Raw genomic sequence first — 22,462 nt, forward strand, 5'->3', positions numbered from 1 at the left:
CTATTTTTTAAATTTTTTATAGAGACAAAGTCTTGCCATGTTGCTCAGGCTGGTCTTAAACTTCTGGCCTCAAGTGATCCTCCTGCCTCAGCCTCCCAAAGTGCTGGGATTACAGACATGAGCCACTGCGCCCAGACCCAAAGAGAATTCTTCAGTGTGGTTCCAACAGAGGGGAACCAGCCTTCCAGGAATGGGATTGAGGGTCAGCCCGATGAAGGACAGATATTGATTTTACATGTTAGCAAAGCTGCAGTCTGAAGATCTGCAGAGGGAAAGTCTCTGAGAAACTCACAGAATGGCTCTAAAAAGAGAAAGAGCCTGCATTATGCATGGGCCCTCCATGGCTCCAGGTTCAGATGACAGCAGTACCAGCCACAGTCGAAATATACTTTGCCCTAATCTACTCTCCCACTGGTTTGACCATAGAGAGGTCAGAAACAGTCAGTGACTGAGGACAGAGAGAAAAGGCTGAGAAAGCCTCCTCCCCCACTGTGGGCCTCCCAACGACAGGCAAACCGAAGCTAAGAGAGAGAAGAGTTTTAACACTGAATAGTGAGTTTTTATACCTCCCTAATTGAACTGGAGTGTGATTATTAGACTGACTTTTTAGTGCTCCTCTACCTCAAAAGGGACTAGTTCATTAATTTTTTTTTTTTTTTTTTTTTGGTAATTTTTTGTAGAGGCAAAGGCCAGGCTGGTCTGAAACTCCTGGCCTCACGCCATCCTCTCACCTCAGCCTCCCAAAGAACTGGAATTATAGGCATGAACCACCGTGCCTGGCTAATTAACTATTAAATGACTAAAAAACCTACTTTAGATCTTATGGAGGTATAGAAAAAATGGATCTACAGAGTCTCAAAGGAGTAGTAGCAAGTGGAATCACTCTTATATTTGGACCTAACGGTCTACTGCAGTCAATAACTACCACATTCAAGAACTTCACAATGCGATGAAATGTAAGAGAACTAACCTAAAACAGATAATTAGGGAAACTTGACTGAAGAAGCAAATATTAAGTTTTCATCTGAAAAATAAGTGTTACCTGGGTAAAAGGAGTGGGATGCGGGAGCGTAAAGGTCAGAAAAAGCTATTTGGAAAAAGGGGGAAAAAAACCATGAGAAAGCCTGTGGTAGGAAACAGCACTGTTGCAGATACTGTGGCTGCATAACAAATGACCCCAAAACATAGCGGCACAAAACAACAATTCATTTTATTTCTACCAGTTCCATAGGTTGATTGGGCTCAGCTAGTTGGTTCTTTATTAGAGTCTCACAAGGATGTAGTAAGATAATAGCTGTGGCTGAAGTCATCTGAAGGCTTGTTAAGGCTGGACATCCAGGATGGCTCCCACACATGGCTGGAAATGATGTTGGCTGTCAGTTGGGAGCTTAGCTTGGGATTTCAGCTGGAGCATCTACACAGGACACCTCCATGTGGCCTGGACTTCACAGCATGGTATCTGGGTTTGGAGAGGGAATGTTCTAAGACTGAGTGTTCCAAGAGAACTGGTTTAAGGACACATGATCTTTAGGACCTCATGAGAAGAGTGTCATTTCAGGCACACTCTATTGGTCAAAACCATCACAAGCCAGCCTAGATTCAAGGGGATGGGAATCTCAATGCAAGATTGATCGAAGGATTTTAAGGCCATGTTTTTAAACTACCATAGGCATGGCCCACTGGAAAAACTAAAAGGTCAGTGTGCCTGAAGTATAGAACTTGCCAATGAGTTTGTAAGGCCATTTAAAGAGCTTGGAAGCTATCCTCAGAGTCATGGGATGAAATTAAAAGATTATTGAGAAATGAGTAATTATCAAGGATAATGTAGAAGATCATTAAAATTATTCATGGAGCCAAGAATCTGAGTAATTTCCTATGGAAAGAAATAAATTATTGCTTGTTAAGAATCTACTTTTAATCAAGACAAGCACCACTATAGTAGTCAAGACACATTGCATAGTATTGGGCAGATTTGGGGGTAGCCAGGCCAGATTGGAAATGTAAGGTAAAGTTTCCTCTTCATGAAAATTTACCTTTTGATGAATGTGCATTTGAAATAAGAGCTATCTCCATTTTGAGGTTTGTTAAAGTATTTATGTTCCCCTCCATTCATCTCTTTTTTTTTTTTTTTTTTTGAGATGGAGTCTTCCTCTTTCTCCCAGGCCGGACTGCCATGGCGCTATCTCGGCTCACTGCAAGCTCCAACTCCCGGGTTCACGCCGTTCTCCTGCCTCAGCCTCCCAAGTAGCTGGGACTACAGGTGCCTGCCACCGCGCCCGGCTAATTTTTTGTATTTTTAGTATAGACGGGGTTTCACCGTGTTAGCCAGGATGGTCTCTATCTCCTGATCTCGTGATCCGCCCACCTCGACCTCCCAAAGTGCTGGGATTACAGGTGTGAGCCACCACGCCTGGCCTCATCTCTTAAATTTACAACTAACAATACTCTGATTTCATTGTAGAATTTTATTTCATAGTTTAAATACAGATTAGGACACATTTATTTCATCAAACTTTGCCAACAGTGGTCAGCTTTGAATTTTTATCTTCTAACTATGTCAACAAAAGTCTTTAAACATTTTCTAGTATCAGCACTTTATATGAAGTGAACAAAAATCACAAAAGCCTATGTGATTGGGTAAAATTGTGGATGTGATATCACAATAGACAAACAACCAAACTCTCATTTCTTCCAGCTCCAGGGCAAGAAGTGGGGGAGGTGTAAATCTCAAAATTACCTTGAAGGACCTATTACATAGCCTAGTCTCTCCAAGGTGTTCAATTTGAGCTCTAGTCTATCAATTCTAATTTTTCCCCAGTTAATCTACTTTCATGTATATATTTTACAATGCAGCTTTCTAATAATTTCAAGGATTATAACTCAGAAGCAACTCTCTCATTTATTGAGGGACTATTCTTTGCAAGGCAATGTGGAAGATGTTGGAGGGATACAAAGATTAAATAGGCAATAAGTTCTAGTAGGAAGGTTGATATGCACAACAATCACTGTTATACAAAAAGTAGAAAGTGGCAAAAGCAGCAAGAAGGGGGTTACTCCGAATGCCACAGGGATTCAGAAGAGCAAGACATTCGAGATGAGTCTTCAGTTATTTCAATTGGTAAAGAAGTGGTCATGATTTTTGAAACTGGAATTGCAGTGAAGTGGTATAGATCAAGATTTGAGTATGTGGAGAATAGCATTCCATAAATAAAGACAATATAAGATGAATCACAGATATAAGAAAGTCCAAACGTAACAATGACTGTGACTAAAGGAGAGGAATAGGAGAAAATGATCCAAAGATAGAGCTAGACAATGTTACAGCTTTGATGTTAGACAAAATCTAGACTTTATTCTAGATTGCTTTTGTAAGCAGTAGAGAGTTGTTGATGGTTTTGGGGTAAAAGGTTGATGCGATATTATCTATGCTTTAGCAAATTAGGCTGGCAGGATGTGTAAAATGGGTTTCAGGTAAGCTAGTTAGTGGCAAAGAGACCAGCAGAGAGTCTACTGTCATCATCCAGGAAGGAACCGGAACTAAGGTGACTAGACAGGAGAGTTTCAGTGACATAGGCATTACTGAAATAGAATCAAAAAATCTTGATAACTAATTGGATATAGAAGGCCAGGGAAAAGAAGGAGTCAAAGATGATGTCAACATTAAAAGTCTAGTTGATGGGAAAACATGTAAAACAAATGAGAATTGGTGCAGTTATGAGAAGACAAATGAGTATAAATTTAAACATATTACATTTTAGGTATCATGAAAATATTCAAATGAAGCTGCCTTGAAGGCACCTAGGAATTTGGACTTGGAGTTTAGGGAGAAGGCAGGGCTGGGGATTTGAAATCATCTGAAGATTAATAACAGTTATTGTTGATTGAAAGCTTAAATTGTACCAAACTCCATGCTAAGCACTTTACATATATTACCTTATAAGCCTCACAGTGAACGTGAAAAATAGGCATTATTATCCTACTGAGACCTAAAGAATGACAGAACTTGCCCAAAGTTTCTCAACTAGTAAAAAGAATTGGGATTGCAAATCGATCTGTTTAAATCCAGAGTAGTTCTGTGGATGTTAAAGTCAGGAATTAATTACAGAGTAGCTCTACTTGTTCACCTAGAGTAATGCCTAATGCATAGGAGGGAGTAAGAGGGAGAGGCCACAGCACTCTCCACTCAAAGGCTCAAGGCCTTTCCCTCCCTTTCCTTCCCCCAGGTATCTTATTTCAAATGCTTGGGAGTTTTAGGTGGAGGGTACAAGGCCTGGGGTAAATGGTTAAGATGACAAATTGGGTACTGCTGCTCTAAATTAGTCCTTGAGGGCTGCATTAGGGTATTCTAGAGGGACAGAACTAATAGGATAGATGTTTAAATAAAGGAGAGTTTAAGTATTGACCCACATGATCACAGGGTGAGGTCCCACAATAGGCCGTCTGCAAGCTGAGGAGCAAGGAAGGCAGTCCAAGTCCCAAAACCTTAAAAGTAGGGAAGCCAACAGTGCAGATTTCAGTCGGTGGTCAAAGGTCCAAGAGCCCCATAGCTGGAGAACTTGGAGTCCAATGTTCAAGGGCAGGAAGCACCCAACACAGGAGAAAGAGGGAAGCCAGAAGACTCAGTCAGTCTAGTCTTTCCACATTCTTCTGCTTGCTTTTTATTCTGGCTGTCCTGGTAGTTGATTCAATTGTGCCCACCCAGACTGAGGGTGGATGTGCCTCTCCCAGTCCACTGGCTCCAATGTTAATATCCTTTGGCAATACCCTCAAAGACACACCCAAGAACAATACTTTGCATCCTTCAATTCAATCAAGTTGACACTTAATATTAACCATTACAAGGGTGTTTTAGCATCAAGTGTTGGAACTCTCTCTAGAATTTTTTAGATAATGTCTTATCTTTCATATCTTTGAATCCTCCTTTGAGTCCATGGTAACAAGTGCCACTTGGCATCTTGTTAAGTGCTCATGAATAATATCCACCATTACTCAGCAGTGGAACCATGGTGTGGATCCCTGAAATCTACTTCCACCCTCAGAACTTAAAATGAACCATCCAAATCTAATTGGATTGCATGTTGTAGAGGCTGATTTCAGGAGCCTGCAAACAAGCTGCAGGAATCCAAGTTCTTCCACTTCCCTCAATGGACCTGAGTCCAATTTTAAACAACATAAAGACAGTGCTATGTTTTGAAAGTTTGCCCCTTCCAAAACACATGTCAAAATTCAATTGCCATTGTAACACTATTAGGAGGTGGGACCTTTGAGAGGTGATTAGGCCATGAGGGCTCCACCCTCATGGGTGGAATTGGTACAGTTTGGCCCACTCTCACCCTCTTTGCCCTTCTACTCTTCTCTCATGTGAGGAACAGTTTTCCTCTCCTCTGAAGCATGAAGCATGCAAAGTGTTGTCTTGGAATCAGAATTGCCAAATCTGCTGGCATCTTGGACTTTTCAGCCTCCAGAACCATTAAAAATAAATTTCTATTATTTATAAATTACTCAGTCTCAGGTATTCTGTTATAGAATCACAAATGGACTAATAGAAAGGTTTTTGATGCATTTATCTCGATTTACCAATAGCACAATCATTGAAAGGCCAAAAGTTCCACCCCACTGCTGTCCTACTTGAAAAAAAGGATTAAAATGTGAGTTTTAAAAGCAAAAATTCTTCCACCTTGAGAGGCTTGTATGGCTAAAAAGCCCATGTAATGAAGCCCTTTCTGTTTTGAAACAAACCTTTACTGGAAACAGAAGACTTCCCCAATAATGTAACACCAGCCCCAGTTCTAATCCCCATTGGAGTGTAGCCTTGTGGTAAACCCCAACAGCTCAGAGTCCCGCATGCCCTAGAGCTGGACCACACAGGGCAAGCAAAGGCTGCCTCCTTCCCGTGCACTGCATTAATGTCCAAATAATAGTACCAAACACTTTTTGAGCTCTTATGTTTTCAAAGGTGTTCTAAAAACTTGCACGTATACCTTCTTATTTAACCATCACAAAAACCTATTGAGGCAGATAATATCCCATTTTATAGATAATGCTATTATATGTTCATCCTCAGAATTTCTAGCTTGGGTAGAAGTTAACATCAATCACTCATGCATGCCTCCTTCCTTCCTAGTTCTAACCAAGAGTATGAACACAATGAACTGATAAGCAGACAGGGATAAGAATATTCACTTTCTTTATAGAGGCCTAATGACCTCAAATTACAGGGTCCCTGAAAGTACCGGATTAGAGAAAATAATTTGGAATTGAAGCCAAAACAAACAAGGCTTCCTATTACATCCTGCCAAATCTGAACCTGAGAACCAGGGGTGCACTGGATCTGCAGAGCAGACTCTTCATACGCATCTCCAACTATCAGAGGTGGGATGGATTGGGACCTGTCACAAAGAGCCAGTCAACAGAAGAGTGTGGAAAGCACAGTAGAGAAATGGCTTTTAGAAGGCAGACACCAAGCCAGGTCTGTTTACTCCACAGCCCACTCTTTCATAATCTGCCTAGGAGAGAGAGAATCCTATTTCTTGCGTTTAAACATAGCTTTCAAATATAACTGCCCATTGGAATCACTTGGAAAGGTTTTAAAAATTTCAATGACCCGACCATAGCCCAGGCCAACTAAATCAGATTCTCTGGAATGAAAACATTTAAGTTCTCCAGGAAATTCCAATGTGCAGCCTAGGCTAAGAGCCACCACTTTATAGGCTTGGCAACCCCTCACAATGCAGCCAGTCATAACTAGCAGTTTTTGAGCGACTACTTTATGCTAAGCAATTTACATAATCCTCATCACAACTCTAAGAGACATATGATAATCAAAGCATTTCACAGATGGGAAAAGCGGTGTTTGGAAAAAGGCTAAGAGACAAAAGATAGACCTGGGATTACAAAGCTCGCATTCTGTCTCCCAAGCTAAATACTTAACCACCATATACCATGCTGCTCCTTGTGGATGCCCTGATTCCAGCAATCTCTCCAACCAGATAATACATTCTTCTTTTATATAGAGAAGCAAATAAGGCTGGGAGATACTACAAGAGTTGACTCCAGTATTCCCTTCTAAAAGAGAGCATAAACTCCTTCCATGGAAGTTAAGCAGGAAGAATAAAGGTTTCCAACAACTAACATTTGTAGAGACTTGGAAAATGTGTGGCAGGGTGTTAAAAGATCAATAATTAGAGATGCTTAGAATTATAAAGCAGTTGAAGTCAAACAGCATACTTTTTTATAGAATCAACTTAGTAGTTCTGAACAGCCATCCTTGATATCTTAAGATTAAGAAAACTGGACAGCACAGTCTATGAAGATAGGGCTAAGGATTGCGAAGGGAGGTGTCATAGGAAATTATGGGAGCAAGAGAACCAAAGATGTTTGTGAACATACAATGACAATACAAGCTAAGGGGGGAAAGAAACGAACAAAATGCGGAAGACTGGGAGGGGCTGAAAGGCTGCAGGGCAGGTGAGGTAAAGCTCACATACTGAGACACTAACACTGGACCAGTAAAGATGACACATTACTTAGTAACTCAGATATTTTAAAAGGTGTACGGCAGAAAGAAAATTCTCATTTCACATTTCTAAACCTTTGCAAATATACAAAGTAATATAAATTGGATCTTGCTTTTATAGAAGTTTGCTGAAAGTATGTAAATGTTTATATGTCAAATAATGTATATTTGTATACACGTAATGCTAGTAATAGAAATTCTGGCACTGAAGAGAATGTAATCACTCTATGGTAACTTCTTCTATAGGGCAAATAATTGTTACTCTTTTTACAATTGAGCATTTTCACATCATGAATTTGCAGGATGATGGCATGTAATTTGGCCCCAGGGAAAAATGTATCTTATTACGATGGAGTATAAGAACACCTGATGAGCAGTAGAAAAATAATTTAGATCCGTTTCCTTGTTTATTCCTCACTTTTCAAGGTATGAATCACTGTTCCCTTTGAGAAGAGTGCTGAAAGGAGGACAAAAGCCTCCACCCATCTGTGCCAGGACACAGCTGCATCAAGCTTGTGAAATAACAATTTGCATCTTCAGAGCTGCACCCATTAACTGCTCTTTTAGCTGCTAGAGAATTTCAGAAAGTTTTGCAATCAGGCCGTGTGCAGTGGCTCACGCCTGTCATCCCAGCACTTTGGGAGGCCAAGGTGGGTGAGTCACTTGAGGTCAGGAGTTTGAGACCAGCCTAGCCAACATGGTGAAACCCCATCTCTACTAAAAATACAAAAGTTGCTGGGCATGGTGGCACACACCTGTAATCCCAGCTACTCCGTAGGCTGAGGCAGGAGAATCCCTTGAACCCAGGAGGCGGAGGTTGCAGTGAGCCAAGATTGGGCCACTGCACTCCAACCTGGGTGACGGAGTGAGACTCCATTTCACAAAAAAGAAAGTTTTTCAATCAGCAAAATTAGGTTAACAGGTTTTCATTTTTGGTGAAAGTTTATATGAAGGCTAAGTATTAAAATGGCCCGATCTATATATGTTATAGTCAATTGAACATGACAGGGTCTATAGGTTTTAACTGTGCTAGTCTGCAATTTGGTGATGTTTCTGGAATGGAAAAACAAACTAAATTGATATGGTTTGTGGTCATCTCATTCTTCTCAAATCATATGACTAAATGAGTTCACCTAGGAGTGATTGTCAACCCTATCCTCTCCCTTAACGCACGTGTGCATGTGCACACACACAACTACAGCAGGTAAAATTTTAACACATTCCCATTAGATTATAAATTTGAAATCCTAGTGTAATATGATGCAGACAGAAGGCACACTGTTATCTGAATAAATTCTAGAATTCCTTTTTTGTTGTTGTTGTTGTTGTGCCAAATTGTGTTTTATGGCTATACTTAATAAATTTTGAAATGAGTCTTTTGCTAAAAATCATAGAGGATATTTACCCACATCATTTAGTTAGGAGCTATAAAATCAAAGTCTTAAAACACATTTGTTAAACTGCCACAAAATTCATTCTGAGGCCGGGTATGGTGGCCCATGCCTGTAATCCCAGCACTTTGAGAGGCCGAGGCGGGCGGATCGCCTGAGGTCGAGAGTTCAAGGCCAGCCTGGCCGACATGGGGAAACCCCATCTCTACTAAAAATACAAAATTAGCTGGGCATGGTGGTGCATGACTGTAATCCCAGCTACTCGGGAGGCTGAGGTAGGAGAATCGCTTGAACCCAGGAGGCAAAGGTTGTGATGAGCCAAGATCGCACCATTGCACTCAGCCTGGGCAACAAGAGTGAAACTCCACCCCAAAAGAAAAAAAAATTCATTCTGAAAAATCTGAAAATTAATTTTTTACTTTGGGGGTTGCTTTCAAAGATTAAATAGGGTTCGCCTTGCCACTGATTTTATCTATTAGGTTGATCAAAAATGGCTGAATATCTGCAGTTTCATATGGTTCAACCTGATTAGAATCAGTTTCACATTTAAATGAACAATACAGCCCTATATATTCCAAAGAAAAAAAGTCTTTGCAGGAAAGATAACCTCAGCTACCCTGCAACATGCTAAAAATACCAACTACAATGCAGCACCAGGGGTTATGGTGCTAGTAGCTTCCCATGTAACTCTGGGGTATTAAGAGGCAGGGACATTGTTTAAAATAACTGACCAATACAAAAATGTCATGCTGCCAAAAATTTTCTTATCCCATTCCCAAAGGTGTTTTGTTTGTTCATTTAGCTTTTCTCTTTTCCACCTTCCACAGAAGGCGCTGAAGGGTAATGAATCTTCAAGAATTAAGATTAGATAGAAACCTGAGTAACCAGTCATTTCACAGGCAATAATTGGCTACAGAGTAATGCTGACTTTGTTCTAAGTCAGAAGCTGACTTGGTTATTTACTATAGAACACAAACATCCACAGCCACTAAATGACTTTACTGAAAACTAGCCACATTAAGTATGACATGTAGAGATAACAAAACTACTTTTGAGAACATGGTTTAAAATTCTGAAAAATAAAAGATAAAGATTTTCTTATTTCTAATAGGGGGAAGGGGTTCCTACATTTCCCAGAAGATCAAACAAGAGACCCAAACACAGGATGTAACGACAGCCCTGTACAGCAAGATGCACTTTGCACAGACAACCACAGAGATTGCCTCCACTTCTTTATCCTAAAGTGTTGAGATTTAAATCAATTCAGACACTCTATATACAATTGAGTCTCTTTTCATTTTTAATTTTATTTTTTAAAAAAGACATTGAGGTTATGGTAAGAAATTATGAAGTTACATTTTTTTAATCTGTCAATTGCTACAGTAGTGGAATAAATAAATAAGTTTTTTAAAGTTCAATGTTTATAGACATACTTATAAAAAAATGACTGAATTAGAAGACATTAAATAATGTTGATACACACCAGGAAGGGATTTAGGCAAGGAAAGGCACATCATATTACCACAAGAAATAAAGACCATAGTTGGAGGTTAATGGACAGCCAGAACTTTAGATCTTGTGGTAGGTTTCCCAGCTCTGGAGGGTCATTATGGTGAAACGTTCTTTATAGTACTGGGCTGGAATAAATAAATAGCAGTTGAGGAATTTTACCTTGTAACTGTAATATAATGTAAAAAGAAAGCACACTTTTAATAACCCTGGTATGTGAAGAGGAAAGAAAAAAAATCCAAAACAATTTGGTGGTACTGAAAATCTTACGGAGAGTTAAAAATAATACTAATCCTCGCCCGGCTGAACTGGAATTCTTGCAGTTACAAAGTTAAAATTTCAAGTAAACACTGTATTTTTCACTTTTTGTAGACAGACACAGTGCAGATACAAACAGCTGCCATATCTCACCTCAGATGAAGCTATGTGTCAATGCTTAGGGAAAATGATCTTAGATAATTTCCCAATTTTATAGAGCTTAAATCTTTGAAAACAGCACTAATACTGCTGGTTGACTGGCTATCTACAACAGCAAAGTGAACATAAAGTTTTGACGATGAGAGGTTTCCCAAAGAAACTAATATAGAGTTTTTAGTTGAACAGATACAGTTACTTTAGTTTTACTGAAAAGTCTAACAGACATTAGCACAACTTGTTTTCGGTCACATTCCTACTCCCAATTTTCTTTCATAAATTTGTGTCAAGTCTCTATCCATTTCTTTCTGTCTAGACCTAGATTAGTTTATTTGAAAGATGGCATCGCTTAAAGTAAACCACATAAATTTTAGTGGTATTAAGTGTGTATTTAGTGGTGAATGTGTATAAATAAAATAGATTTTCATAATAAAATGGTATATCCACAAATAAAAATTAAAAACAATTGAGAGGTGGGGAAAATATCAGTATTATTTTAAAAAAATAAAAATGGCAATTGTAAAGCAGGCAGTTTCTTGCTCATGCCACACGATATGCCTTCATTAAGGTGTACTCTTTCCGGTTGGTGTGAGCAGCCCAGATGAAGAGAGCAGAAGCCATGAACTGTAAGGGAGCAGAGACACAAGCCAGGCAGAAGGACCATCCAAATTCACCGGATACATTGTCAGGGAGCTCTAGTTTCTGGTGGAGTAGTTCAATTCCAGCAACATAACAACTTACTGAGCCCAGTGTACACAGACCTTGGGGGAAAATTTAGAAAACAAAACAAAACATGGCTGGATAAAAGCACAGTAAAGAGCTTTTCAGGCAATGTGACAGGGCAGTTAATACGTGAACATTTCAGATTTATAACTCTTTGGTCCCTAAAGAGACAGGAAGAAGCTAAAAGGTAAGTATGATGACAAAACCTACCTGCAAGGAGATGGAGAATGCCCGTGGCAATGGTGGGATATAAGCTTCGGCAAATGCAAGCACAAAGTCCGATCAAAGCCCCAAAGCACATCAAACCTAAACTCACAAAAGGTAAAAGGAACTGGCAACGCCAAAGATCTGATTTTTAAAAAGAGAGAAAAGAAATGTTACCGTGATTTCAGACCATTTTCCCCGCAATGGCAATTTCTTTCATATTCTAATTAGATCTTTTCTCAAAAAGTGTGAAAGTATTTTAACATTGAGGCCTCTTTTCTAAAGCACATTATTCAAAAGGATGCTACTCTTGTCCTGATAAAAGTAAAAGGACACTAACAGGTAGTAGCAATTACTGAGGGTTCACTATGTTCCATGCTATGTTTGTCTACACATTTTCTGTATTAATCCTCCCAACAACCCTAGAAAGTAGGTACAGTCAGCCCTCCATATCTGCAGGTTTCACATCCGCAGATTCAACTAACCAAGGGTTAAAAATATTCAGAAAAAAAAATGATACAAATTTACAAATATATAGTATAACAACTATTTACATAGCATTTATATTGTATTGGGTATTATAAGCAATCTAAAGATGATTTAAAGTATACAGGAGGATTGTGTAGGTTATATGCTAATATTATGCCATTTTATATAAGGTACTTTAGCAACCTTGGAATTAGCAGGGGGTCCTGAATCCAATCCCCCATAGCTACAGCTGTATTATTATTAATTCCATTTTGTAATTAAGGAAACTGAGGCAAGAGTCATAAATAACTTGTAAAAATAACACAGTAAGTGGTAGAGCCAGGATTTGATACAAAAATCAGTCTGACTCTACCTACCAACAATATCTAGGTCTTTATATGATCTAAAGGCAGTAACAACAAGTAAATTAATGGTAATTATAAATGACCTGTCTTATAGGGCTGTTGAAGAATATATATAAAGCACAAAGCAGAGAATCTAAAGGTAGTTTTAATTATCATAAATCTCTCATCAACATGGGAAGAAAACCTGATGACCTCACAAAACATGCCATTCCATTTTCCAATAATATTCATTATTAGAAATGCATTCATATCAATCTTGACTAAACTTTACACCTTTTGGTGCTGGTTTTGCTTTCTGGAACTTCTTATGTGTTTTTCTAACTTACTTTCTTTCAAACTCTCCTAGTAATAAACTGCTTGCTACACATTCTCTTTATAAAACTGAATACCTACCTCTTATTCAACCTTTTCTCTTACAACATGGTCATTCTTCTGGGCAAGTCCCTATAGCCCTGAAAACTGAGGCTCAAATCTGAAGACAGTATTTCATGGGCTGCCTGACCATCAGGGAATAGGTTGTTCCTAATAAATACTTTCATCTTTTTTGACATCTACCCTTTTGTTACTATCACCTAAGACTGGATAAACACTTTTGACAGGCCTGACAACTCACTGACTCATTTAGAGCTTGCAGTAAACTTTTTTCACATATACTTACCTGAACTCAAGCAGTGGAAAGTGTTTAATTCAAATATAGGAATGTATAAGTTATCTCAACTAAATTTCCTTTTACTAAATGGGCCCATTAATAACATCTTTTGAAGGTCTAGATCCCATCATCCAATGAAGTAGTTGGCCCTGTCAACTTCAAATCATTTGAAATTTGGTAAGCATGTATCTACCTTCTAAAATATCAACAGAATAGAGTTCACTGGATACTGTTAGAGATTTTATTTCACGTTGGCACAATCTACTAACTCATCTTATTCCAAAAACATAGTCCAAAAAGAGACAAATAAAATTATCTTTGTTCCCCCAACTGTCCTGGTGAAATCAAAGTACTCACAGGTCCTAAGGAGATCAATCCCGCTATTGTGGTTTCCGGGATCAACAAATTTCTCCATGAACTGCTCAGTTAGTGTGAAACTCACACATTTTGTGACCACATCAAATGACTCTGGAACAAGAACAATTGCCTGTTGTTTTAATTATAAACATTTAACAAAAATCTCTTTCAGTAATTATTCTCTGAAGTAAAACAGTAAAGGATGTTTCCAGAGGGGTCAGCAACTTCTCTGGCCCTGACTGACACACAGGTTTCATAGATGTCCAATGGATGCCACTGGTTCTCAGTGGCAGGCTGAAGACATAGGCACAAGGAAGAAAAATAAAGTGGAAGCAGTAAAATGAATGGCAGAATAGCTATGTAGAAAGCCTAGGAAGAAGGGGAGGGAACAAAGACTGAAATAAATAGGAATGTTGATCTTCTCATGCAACCGTGCTTTATCAACCATATTCCCATCTCAGGGAATGCCAAATCCACACTTCCAGTTCCTCAGACCAGAAACTTTAGAGTAATTCTTGTACATTTACACTCCATCAGGAAATCCCAGGAATTCTTCCTTCAAACTATGTCCAGAATCCAGCTGCTGCTCAGTGCTACCATTCTGGTGTGAGTCATAATCATCACTTAACCTGAATTACTTCTATAACCTCCTAACCATAGTCTTCTAGTTTCCACCTTTGTCTGCTGCCTCTGTTCTCACAACAGCCAGGGTGACCAGATCAGGGCTCAGCACTGTATCTGGAGTCAACACCAAAGTTCTCATTCTGCCTAGAGTCCTCCAGGATTTGCCCCAGTCCCACTCCCAAAGTAGGTCTTTAACAGCATACCCAACTTCCCGTCTCTCCCTCCATTCCAGCCCAGTGGCTTCCTTACTGGTCCTTGAATATTTCAGGCATGCTCCCGCCATAGAGCCTTTGCAGTAGATGTCCTTTCCAACCTAAATGACTTCCTCCCCATTTACCCATATGGCCAACTCTTTTGTCTAGTCTTTAACTACATTCTTTACTCAAGTGGTGTCTTCTCAATGAGACCTACTTTAAGTATCCTATTGAAAATCATAACCTATGGCCACCAATATTCCTTTTCCCACATATTTCCAAATCCCTTTTGTGTTCTATTTTGCCATAGCACATGTCATCTTTTAACATACTGAATAATTATTTATTCTGTTTATACTGTTATATTCTGTTCACTGCCTGTCATCCTTTATTAGAATGCTAGCTCCCCAGGAGTAAGGATTTTGTTCTTTCCTGATGTTCTCCCAGCTAAGAGGCCCTGGAACATGGAGACATGCAATAAATTATTTGTTTAATGAATGACTAAATGGTAACACTCCAATTCCAACTCCAATTTCAATATCAAGTGCTCCTGTAACCTCATAAGTCAAACTGAACATTTTACAATGAATTTTAACCAACTTTCTCTCCTTTCCTTCCAAATTATCTTTTTTTCCAGATACAGTGACATATTATCATCCTTTTGATATATCATAACTCAAGCCTGTTCTGCTATGATTTGAATACAATGCTTCCCCACTAAGGGGCCAACAGAAGTAGTCATAAATAAACTGTAAAGTTGTTCCTTACAAAGAGTTCTAAAGCTACCATTTTAATAACTGGAAATCAAAATCTTTAAGTGTTAAATAAGAATGCCTGTAAAATAAACCTAAAAATCTAGTTTTTGGTTTTTTTTTTTTAACTTCTGTAATACAAATTTCTTAACCTACCAACTCTGCATCAAGATTGTTGTAAAACAGTCTCATAATTACACAGATTAAATGTAGAGCTGGTCAAATTATATCCTCTAAGACACAGGGGCAAATGATAGATATGTATTATAATACAGCTAACCCATAAAAGGACAATTTTTTGAGTTGATTTTCGATGGTAGTCCTTTTACTAGTTACCAAATATTTTTAAAAGTCTTTCGATGTACTTTTCCAACTATTTCTTTATAACATGTGTTAGAGTAATGAAAAGTATTTTAATGAGTGAGTAAATAAGAAAAAAAAAAGCCATTAAGGCTTTCCCAAGATAAGAAAAGTTCCTCATCCAACCAATATTGATGAGTACCATGGTAATGCAAAGAAGTTGGGGAGAGAAGGCAGTAGAAAGAGAAGATACACGATTTATTTCTTTAAGGAGAGAGAGAACCAACAAACCTGCTTACATGTAATTGGGCAATCATTACGTCGTTTTGTCTATTATTAACCAGGTGAAGAAGACAGAAGTTAAAATAAGAGAAATACCTGTCCTTTCTGGTGGGCTATACCAATGCATGTTTTTGGGTATGGTGATACACCGTCTCCACAATCCCACTGTGCCATTGTATCGAAAAAGTGCATCATTATAAGTCTTTTCATCTGCCTCATCACTAATGAATTCATCCCAGATGCTTTTATTCAAATCACTGGAATTTTCTTGAACTGGACTTCGATATTCATACCAGAAGTCTGTGCCAATGGAGGCTGCCATGTAGATGGTGGAAATGAGGCTAAGCACACAAGCAATTACAAATGCTGTAGCAAAACGGTTATCCATTCTGGCATTCAGACTGCTCTGTTTAGAAGTTGAAGAAAGAAGATAAGTTAGAGTTTACGGACAAATAAGAAAGATTATTTTGAATTATTCCAAATGCACCCTTTACCCAATTCCCCATCCCTTCGTACATATAACCATTAAGAATTTTTTTTAGAAAGCAAGCATGTTTTTAATTAAGCTTAAAACAAAACTCATTCTCATAAAAGTACTTATTGAATGCTCACATACCCAGGATGCTACGGAGACAGAGGTCTTGTTCTCTAGTCTATCACCTGCATACTAAAACAGACAACACTGAAATGGACATACACATTACAGATACAAACAATAGACATGCCCATGGTCAGCAGTGTACCGTGCACACATTTTAAATTACAGACTGAATTTTTGCACGAGCTGCAGAGGATTAAGTGTTCTGGGTTTGAGTGTTAAAAAGGCACAGGAAAAAGAAGCAGTGGAAATTGGCTTCTCCCAGTTTCCTCTGAAGAGGGAAGCCTCCTAAAACAAAGGTAAGAGTCAGGAGCCATACAGAAAACAGAGTTGAAGATGTTTGTTAACCCCGAGGGAAAGGTTGTTCTAGGTGTATAAAATAGCAAAGAGAACAATAACATGTAATAATGCTAGATAGCAATCTCTCCCTAATCCATTAAAGCTAAGCCAAGCTTCTTTACGCTGCCAAATGCTTCACTCCTATCTACTCTCCCGATTCCTTATACTTCTGAACCTCCTCAACAGAAATCTTGCTCTCTCCCTAAATCCTCAGTGCAACATACGTCCGCAAAAACTAAATGATCCCTCCTCAGCCAGACAGAAAACTCTCAACATATCAACACTCCCAAGGCGTGGACAGGGCTCAACGGCAGTAGTAAATGGCCGCGGTAAAATGACTCAAGGCAGATCGCGCTGAGTCAAATACTACACGGCAAGTATACACCGTGACCGCACCAAACACCTTACAAAGGTTCATGAAAACAGACTCGCAAACTGGGGTTGCTGAGTTTGGAAAATGGGAAGTGACTCAGGAAAGATAAGAGCAATGACAACGAAAACTCAAAAAGTTGGATTTGTATTTTGATTTTTTAAAAATCCCCCCTTCATCCTGGTGCTCTCAAATGACCTTAAAGGGTCCCAGCACTGGGAACGGCGGTTCGTCCAAGCCGGACGCCTGCAGCAGCCACCTCCTGGGCCTCACGGCGGGGCCGGAGAAGGCCAGGGCTGGGGCGGGGCAGCCGTGCTCGGCCCCGGGCCAGGGTCCCCCGGTACCCGACCAGGCCCCGCCCTAGAGGGCTCGGCCCTGGGACAAATCCGCCGCTCGGAACCCGCCCAGCCCGACCACGCCCGGGAAGGGGGCCCCTCTTCAAACCGCCGGGAACATGGAACCGCGACGCGACCCCTGCCCGGCGACGCAGGTCCCGCTCACTCACCGCCCATCCTCCTGCTCCGCCAGCTTCACCCTCTAGCTCAGACCACAGCACCCTACTCTCCCCGCGCCTCCTCTGACGCACTTCCCTGCAGAGCCCGCCCCCTCCATAACTCCCGCGCCTCCGCCCGCCCCCACTCCGGGCCGGGCCGCGGCCCGGGGCCGAGGGGCCTTGTGGGAGTTGTAGGAGGGACAGACTGAAAGCTGTCTGAGGCGGCGATAGGCATTCCTGGCGCCGCGCGCGGCGCATTGTGGGAGATGTAGTTCAGCTCCTCAGGGCAAGCCGGTACGCAGAAGGGAAGTCTAGGCTGTTGGATTCTTGCATTTTAGGGAGGAAGGGAGAATGGTCCAGAAAGTAAAGCGGGCCTGTTTCCGGTCATCTCGAGTCAATGACCGTGACTTGTATAACTTAGATCTGACTTTTAGGCCTGTGCTTTCCCTATCACACCACCCTGCCTCTAGATCTAAGTATAAATGAACAAAAATGGGATTCTACTTGTGAAACGTTGACCCATTTTATTTCCCTCTCCCAGAATCCCTCCCATTGGAGCAGAGCATCCTTCTGGTTTTATTGCATAAGTTTAGGCTAAGAAGTATGTGACCTGGCAGACAGTATCCATCAAGAATGTAATGATATTATTTGGGTTTCATAAAATGTGTTTGTAGCTGCCTTCTTTTTATGACAAGTGATACTAGTTTTCTATTGCAGCAATGTTGTTCCTTTTAAATTCTTTTCACTTATTTTAAAAACTATTAAGTTAATAATACTGAGGATACCAGATATGTCAAAAAATGAATAAAAAATTGTGGGTATAGTAGGAAAAAGACTGAAATTTGGGGAACATCACTCAAGCAGATAAGGTCATGGACAGCATTGGAGATTGCAGATGATGTGTGGCACAGGGGCAACAATGATTCTGAACCCTCAGGTTTAACACAGAAATTCATGGACAGGAAGCAGGGACATCTTAACAATAACATGAGTGGAACTATTAACGTGGCCTGGGACCAGCAAATGGTGGATTTCTCAACAGTAACCGACAGAGAAAGCTGACTCAAGGACCAGAGGGGCTCTCAAACCCCCACTCTGTCCCCTAATGCCTTGTAATTTAGCATAGGAGAAAGATGGGAGCTGCAAGTTGATATTAAATTTCTACCACTTTGACAGATTAAAGGCATGATATGTTTCTCTATCTGTACTTACATTTCTTTGACCTGAGTGGGTGAAACTGATATTCATATGCAGCACATAATAAGGTAGTAGCCAAATATATTCAAACATGACTCTGGATTTTCATATACAGCATATAATCAAAAAAAAATTTGTCAGAGGCACCAACTAGAGAAAGTGATGGAGAGGCACAGGCAAATTGTCAATGTGTAGTAAGACACATAAATGCCCTTATACTCCAGGAAATGTCTTCATCCATTGGCCTTCATTAGAAATCCCCTATTTTCCGCCGGGCATGGTGGCTCACGCCTGTAATCCCAGCACTTTGGGAGGCCGAGGCGGCAGATCACGAGGTCGGGAGATCGAGACCATCCTGGCTAACACGGTGAAACCCCGTCTCTACTAAAAATACAAAAAAATTAGCCAGGCGTGTTGGTAGGCGCTTGTGGTCCCAGCTACTTGGGAGGCTGAGGCAGGAGAATGGCATGAACCCGGGAGGCGGAGCTTGCAGTGAGCCAAGATCACGCCACTGCACTCCAGCCTGGGCGACAGAACAAGACTCTGCCTCAAAAAAAGAAATTCCCCACTTTCAGATTTACCTCTCCACTGAGATCATGTGGTCAGTAAACCAGGCAAAAGAGAAGTTTAAAGGAGAGAGAAGAAACAACTTCAGTCTACAGATAAAGGAACTAGAGAGAGTAACTGACTTGGTAGCAAACTTGGATATTAGAGTAACTGACTACCATGGTAACACACTTGAATATACTCATTTTGTGACTTTGGAGAATTAACCTTCTTTAAGTCTCGGTTGTCTTTTCTCCAAAATATGGATGTTGACAGTAGCATCTATCCCACATGATCATTGTGAAGATTGAGAAAAACATATAAAACGCCCAGCACAGGACCTGAGGTTTAGGAAAGAATCATTAAGTTATTAGTATTTGCAAATATTTGTTGAATATAATATTTGAGTAAGCTTAGTGAGAACAGTCTTTTTTTTTTTTTTTTTTTGTATTCTAATACAGTTCAAATCAGTGTGGCTGGTTCATTTCAACTCCTTCACTACCAAACTAGGAGGCAGGGACTGGCTTCAGTTTTTCTGCCTTCTCTTTTTCACTGATGACCAGGGTATAAAGATATCTGCTGCATCGAACTTTAAACTTCACATTGTCCTTATTTTTCTTGATCTTGACAGATTCAGCATCCTTTCATTGGGCTGTGAACAGAAAGTCCTTGATTTCCTCAATTTTCGGAGGCATGGCGACAAGGCACGCAGGGAGCAGGCGCGGACCGGGACAGCGTGCGGCGACCGGGAAAAACAGGACAGAAAAAGACAGACAGCTTTTAAAGCTCCTGGATTAACCCTAGAGGCTACCCCTAAATGGAGATAAGCCATTTATACAGAGAGGTGTTCCTGCTCGCTTCAGCAGGTTTGAGAAGCTCTGGACTAACCACCAAATGACTAGGAAAAATTTGCCAGGGCTAGTATTTTGGGCATCCCTGTTTAACCCTTCTCAGGAGATTCCCAGGCCTGGGATCGTATCATACACAAGTCGCCATGACTCAGGAGGTGGATGTTTCTGGGAAGACCTGCAAAGGAGGATGACACTTGCACCCTTCAAGTCTTCAGAATGCCTAGAAAACACTCAGGACGCATTTCACTGACCAACCTAGTGTGAACCTGGAGGTGTCTCTACGTGTTTGTGGTTTTGATCATCCTGAGAGAGGACCTGAACGGCCTCTTCACACCCAGTTTCACCAACCACACAACCGTATTTCTGGTTTATCTCTGCATCTTTGGTGTTTCCTAATTTCTATTTATGCTTGCTTGTTGTATGAGTAGGTAAAATAAATCCTTAATTAATTAATGGAGCTAAATTTCTACTTCTGCTTCTTACTCTGCTGTTTGAGAAACGGTAGCTAGCCTTATATTTTCACAAATATGAAAGATGATTTTGTGCAACCATGTAGAGATTATGGAATTTAGGTTTAAAAGCGAAGTTAAATGAGACATCTAGCTTAACTTGTTAAAGATGGTTCTAGTTTCAACCGGAAGGCATTATAGTTATAGCACATTTAAAATAAAACCGATAACTGAAAATCTAGATACTCAGATGTTGTAACTTGTTTTTATTATGTACTTATGAAACAACCCTTCACACTAGAATTTCCATCAATACTAAATTCCCCAATACATTTAATATTTTATTTTTAATTGCACATTTTTAGGAACTAAAAGTTATATCTACATTATAAGATATATTTACATTATGTTTCTTCATGTAATTTTTTTTCTGGTTGTTTCCCTTGTGAACTTTGGAGTTCAGAAAGGAAAAAAATGGGAATATGTACAATTCTGGGTTCCAACCAAAAACCATTTTTAAAAATGTACCTATCTTTGAATTTCCTTGCACCCATTCACTGTAGAACAATAACAGAATCAAGATCAAGGCAAATAGAAAAGTGCACCTAAAATGTCTCCTTTTTTTTTTTAGTAATTCCTGTAAAGTGCCACATATAGTAAAAAACTATAATTTTTAGATGCCCATGCTTCTGAAAGACAGTGAATGACCCATATGTAAATGAGAAGTTTAAGTTTAAATTATCCTTTATTTAAAAATTATCAATGGATCTTTGGTTAATGACCCCTTTCTGGACCCTAGGGTCCTCTTTAGTAAAACAGTTGTACTAATGATCATTAACACCACTTGAAGCTCTAAAATTTTACAGTTTATAATTCTACTGGAAGAAGAATAATGCAACTACAAAATACGGTTTTTCATAGATCCACAGCATTAGAGTTTCATTGCAGAATTTATATACCCTATACCTCAAGCCTAGGCAATGTACTAGAAGCAGAGATAGTGGCAAATGTAGATTGCAAAGGAAAAGGAGGAAGACTATATGCATTCTGATTAGAAAAGGTACCGAAAAACAGCCCTTGCTATTTCAAAGATTAACAGTAATTATGAAGGTAAAATTATGGAAGGAAACTTTTCTGATTTCTTCTAATTGACACTTATTAGTATAGAGTTATGAGTATGAATTGTGGGCCTCCCAAAAATAACTTTTCAAAAAAAAATCTTATTGCAGATAAGAAACTAATATAATCAATTAATTTAATTATTAATAAACTTAAGAGTCTTCATTGAGAGAGTCCTCTTCTCATCACTATCCGTCATACTTATTATGAGGCCATGATAATGATATTTTTCACATTTATTGGTTTGCAAGTTGCTTCTGATTCAACAAGATGTGCCAAGTGAAAACATAAGCATAAGTTGACAAAAAATGTGCTGCATTAACTTAGAAACATCTCTTCATATTAGTTTATGATGTGACAAAGATCCCAGGACTGAATAGAAAATGGAAGCTGTCTAAGAAGTTTGTGAAAAGTCCCTACTCTGCGGAAATAACTCAAAATTCAAGCATGATTCATCCCAGATCTATAATCATTTATTGACCATCTATTGCTTGCCAGACACTCTGCTGGATGCCAAGGACACCAACATAAATAAACATAATTTTTGTTATGCACAACCTAAATTCAGATTAAATCTGCTATTTCGAAGAAATCTAAAGTATATATTCCTAGAATAGTAACATCATTTCTATCTATATATTAGTTACCAATGGAAATAAGCCAGTAAATTAAGTGGGGGGCCCTCATAATAATGAATACGTGCCACTTAGTTTGGCATGATGTGATATTACATTATATAGTACTAAATTCTC

General features: G+C 39.5%; 1 protein-coding gene, 1 long non-coding RNA gene and 1 pseudogene across 7 annotated transcripts, besides 3 other annotated features; 1 reads left to right on the top strand and 2 right to left on the bottom strand.

Moving 5' to 3' along the window:
- Positions 1 to 10,194: 10,194 nt before the first annotated feature.
- CLDND1 (claudin domain containing 1) lies at positions 10,195 to 17,614 on the bottom strand. Of its 6 annotated transcripts, none has more exons than NM_001040182.2 (6): positions 17,561 to 17,614; positions 16,365 to 16,408; positions 15,845 to 16,154; positions 13,597 to 13,707; positions 11,764 to 11,901; positions 10,195 to 11,591 (listed from the first exon to the last, which is right to left on the bottom strand). In NM_001040182.2, exons 1-6 carry the CDS (start codon positions 17,565 to 17,567, stop codon positions 11,371 to 11,373), a joined length of 831 nt encoding a protein of 276 aa, NP_001035272.1. In that variant the 5' UTR covers positions 17,568 to 17,614; the 3' UTR covers positions 10,195 to 11,370. The 6 variants fall into 6 exon arrangements, with proteins under 6 accessions (NP_001035272.1, NP_063948.1, NP_001035273.1 ...); NM_019895.3 differs by having other exon boundaries at positions 16,365 to 16,415; NM_001040183.2 differs by lacking the exon at positions 16,365 to 16,408 and having other exon boundaries at positions 15,845 to 16,149.
- Positions 17,061 to 17,170: a silencer, noted in NCBI's record as "silent region_14555". NCBI's record gives its function as "represses an Ori minimal core promoter by ATAC-STARR-seq in GM12878 lymphoblastoid cells {active_cell/tissue: GM12878}" and the evidence as "EXISTENCE:reporter gene assay evidence [ECO:0000049][PMID:35858748]".
- Positions 17,221 to 17,860: a silencer, noted in NCBI's record as "silent region_14556". NCBI's record gives its function as "represses an Ori minimal core promoter by ATAC-STARR-seq in GM12878 lymphoblastoid cells {active_cell/tissue: GM12878}" and the evidence as "EXISTENCE:reporter gene assay evidence [ECO:0000049][PMID:35858748]".
- Positions 17,282 to 20,599, top strand: CLDND1-AS1 (CLDND1 antisense RNA 1). Its single transcript, NR_198998.1, has 2 exons — positions 17,282 to 17,545; positions 19,923 to 20,599. It is a non-coding gene; the product is annotated as a CLDND1 antisense RNA 1 (long non-coding RNA).
- Positions 19,063 to 19,192: an enhancer, noted in NCBI's record as "active region_20137". NCBI's record gives its function as "activates an Ori minimal core promoter by ATAC-STARR-seq in GM12878 lymphoblastoid cells {active_cell/tissue: GM12878}" and the evidence as "EXISTENCE:reporter gene assay evidence [ECO:0000049][PMID:35858748]".
- On the bottom strand, positions 19,740 to 20,060 carry RPL38P4 (RPL38 pseudogene 4; annotated as a pseudogene).

The sequence above is a fragment of the Homo sapiens genome, chromosome 3 (genome assembly GCF_000001405.40).
Source record: "Homo sapiens chromosome 3, GRCh38.p14 Primary Assembly".
NCBI classification, from domain to species: Eukaryota; Metazoa; Chordata; class Mammalia; order Primates; family Hominidae; genus Homo; species Homo sapiens.

Excerpts from the sequence above, each read along its gene's own strand:
- CLDND1 (NM_001040182.2), bottom strand. Across the intron at positions 13,708-15,844 it reads TAGCCCACCAGAAAGGACAG|AGTCATTTGATGTGGTCACA; the intron begins GTATTTCTCTTA and ends TTCTTGTTCCAG. Across the intron at positions 11,902-13,596 it reads GATTGATCTCCTTAGGACCT|ATCTTTGGCGTTGCCAGTTC; the intron begins GTGAGTACTTTG and ends TTTAAAAATCAG.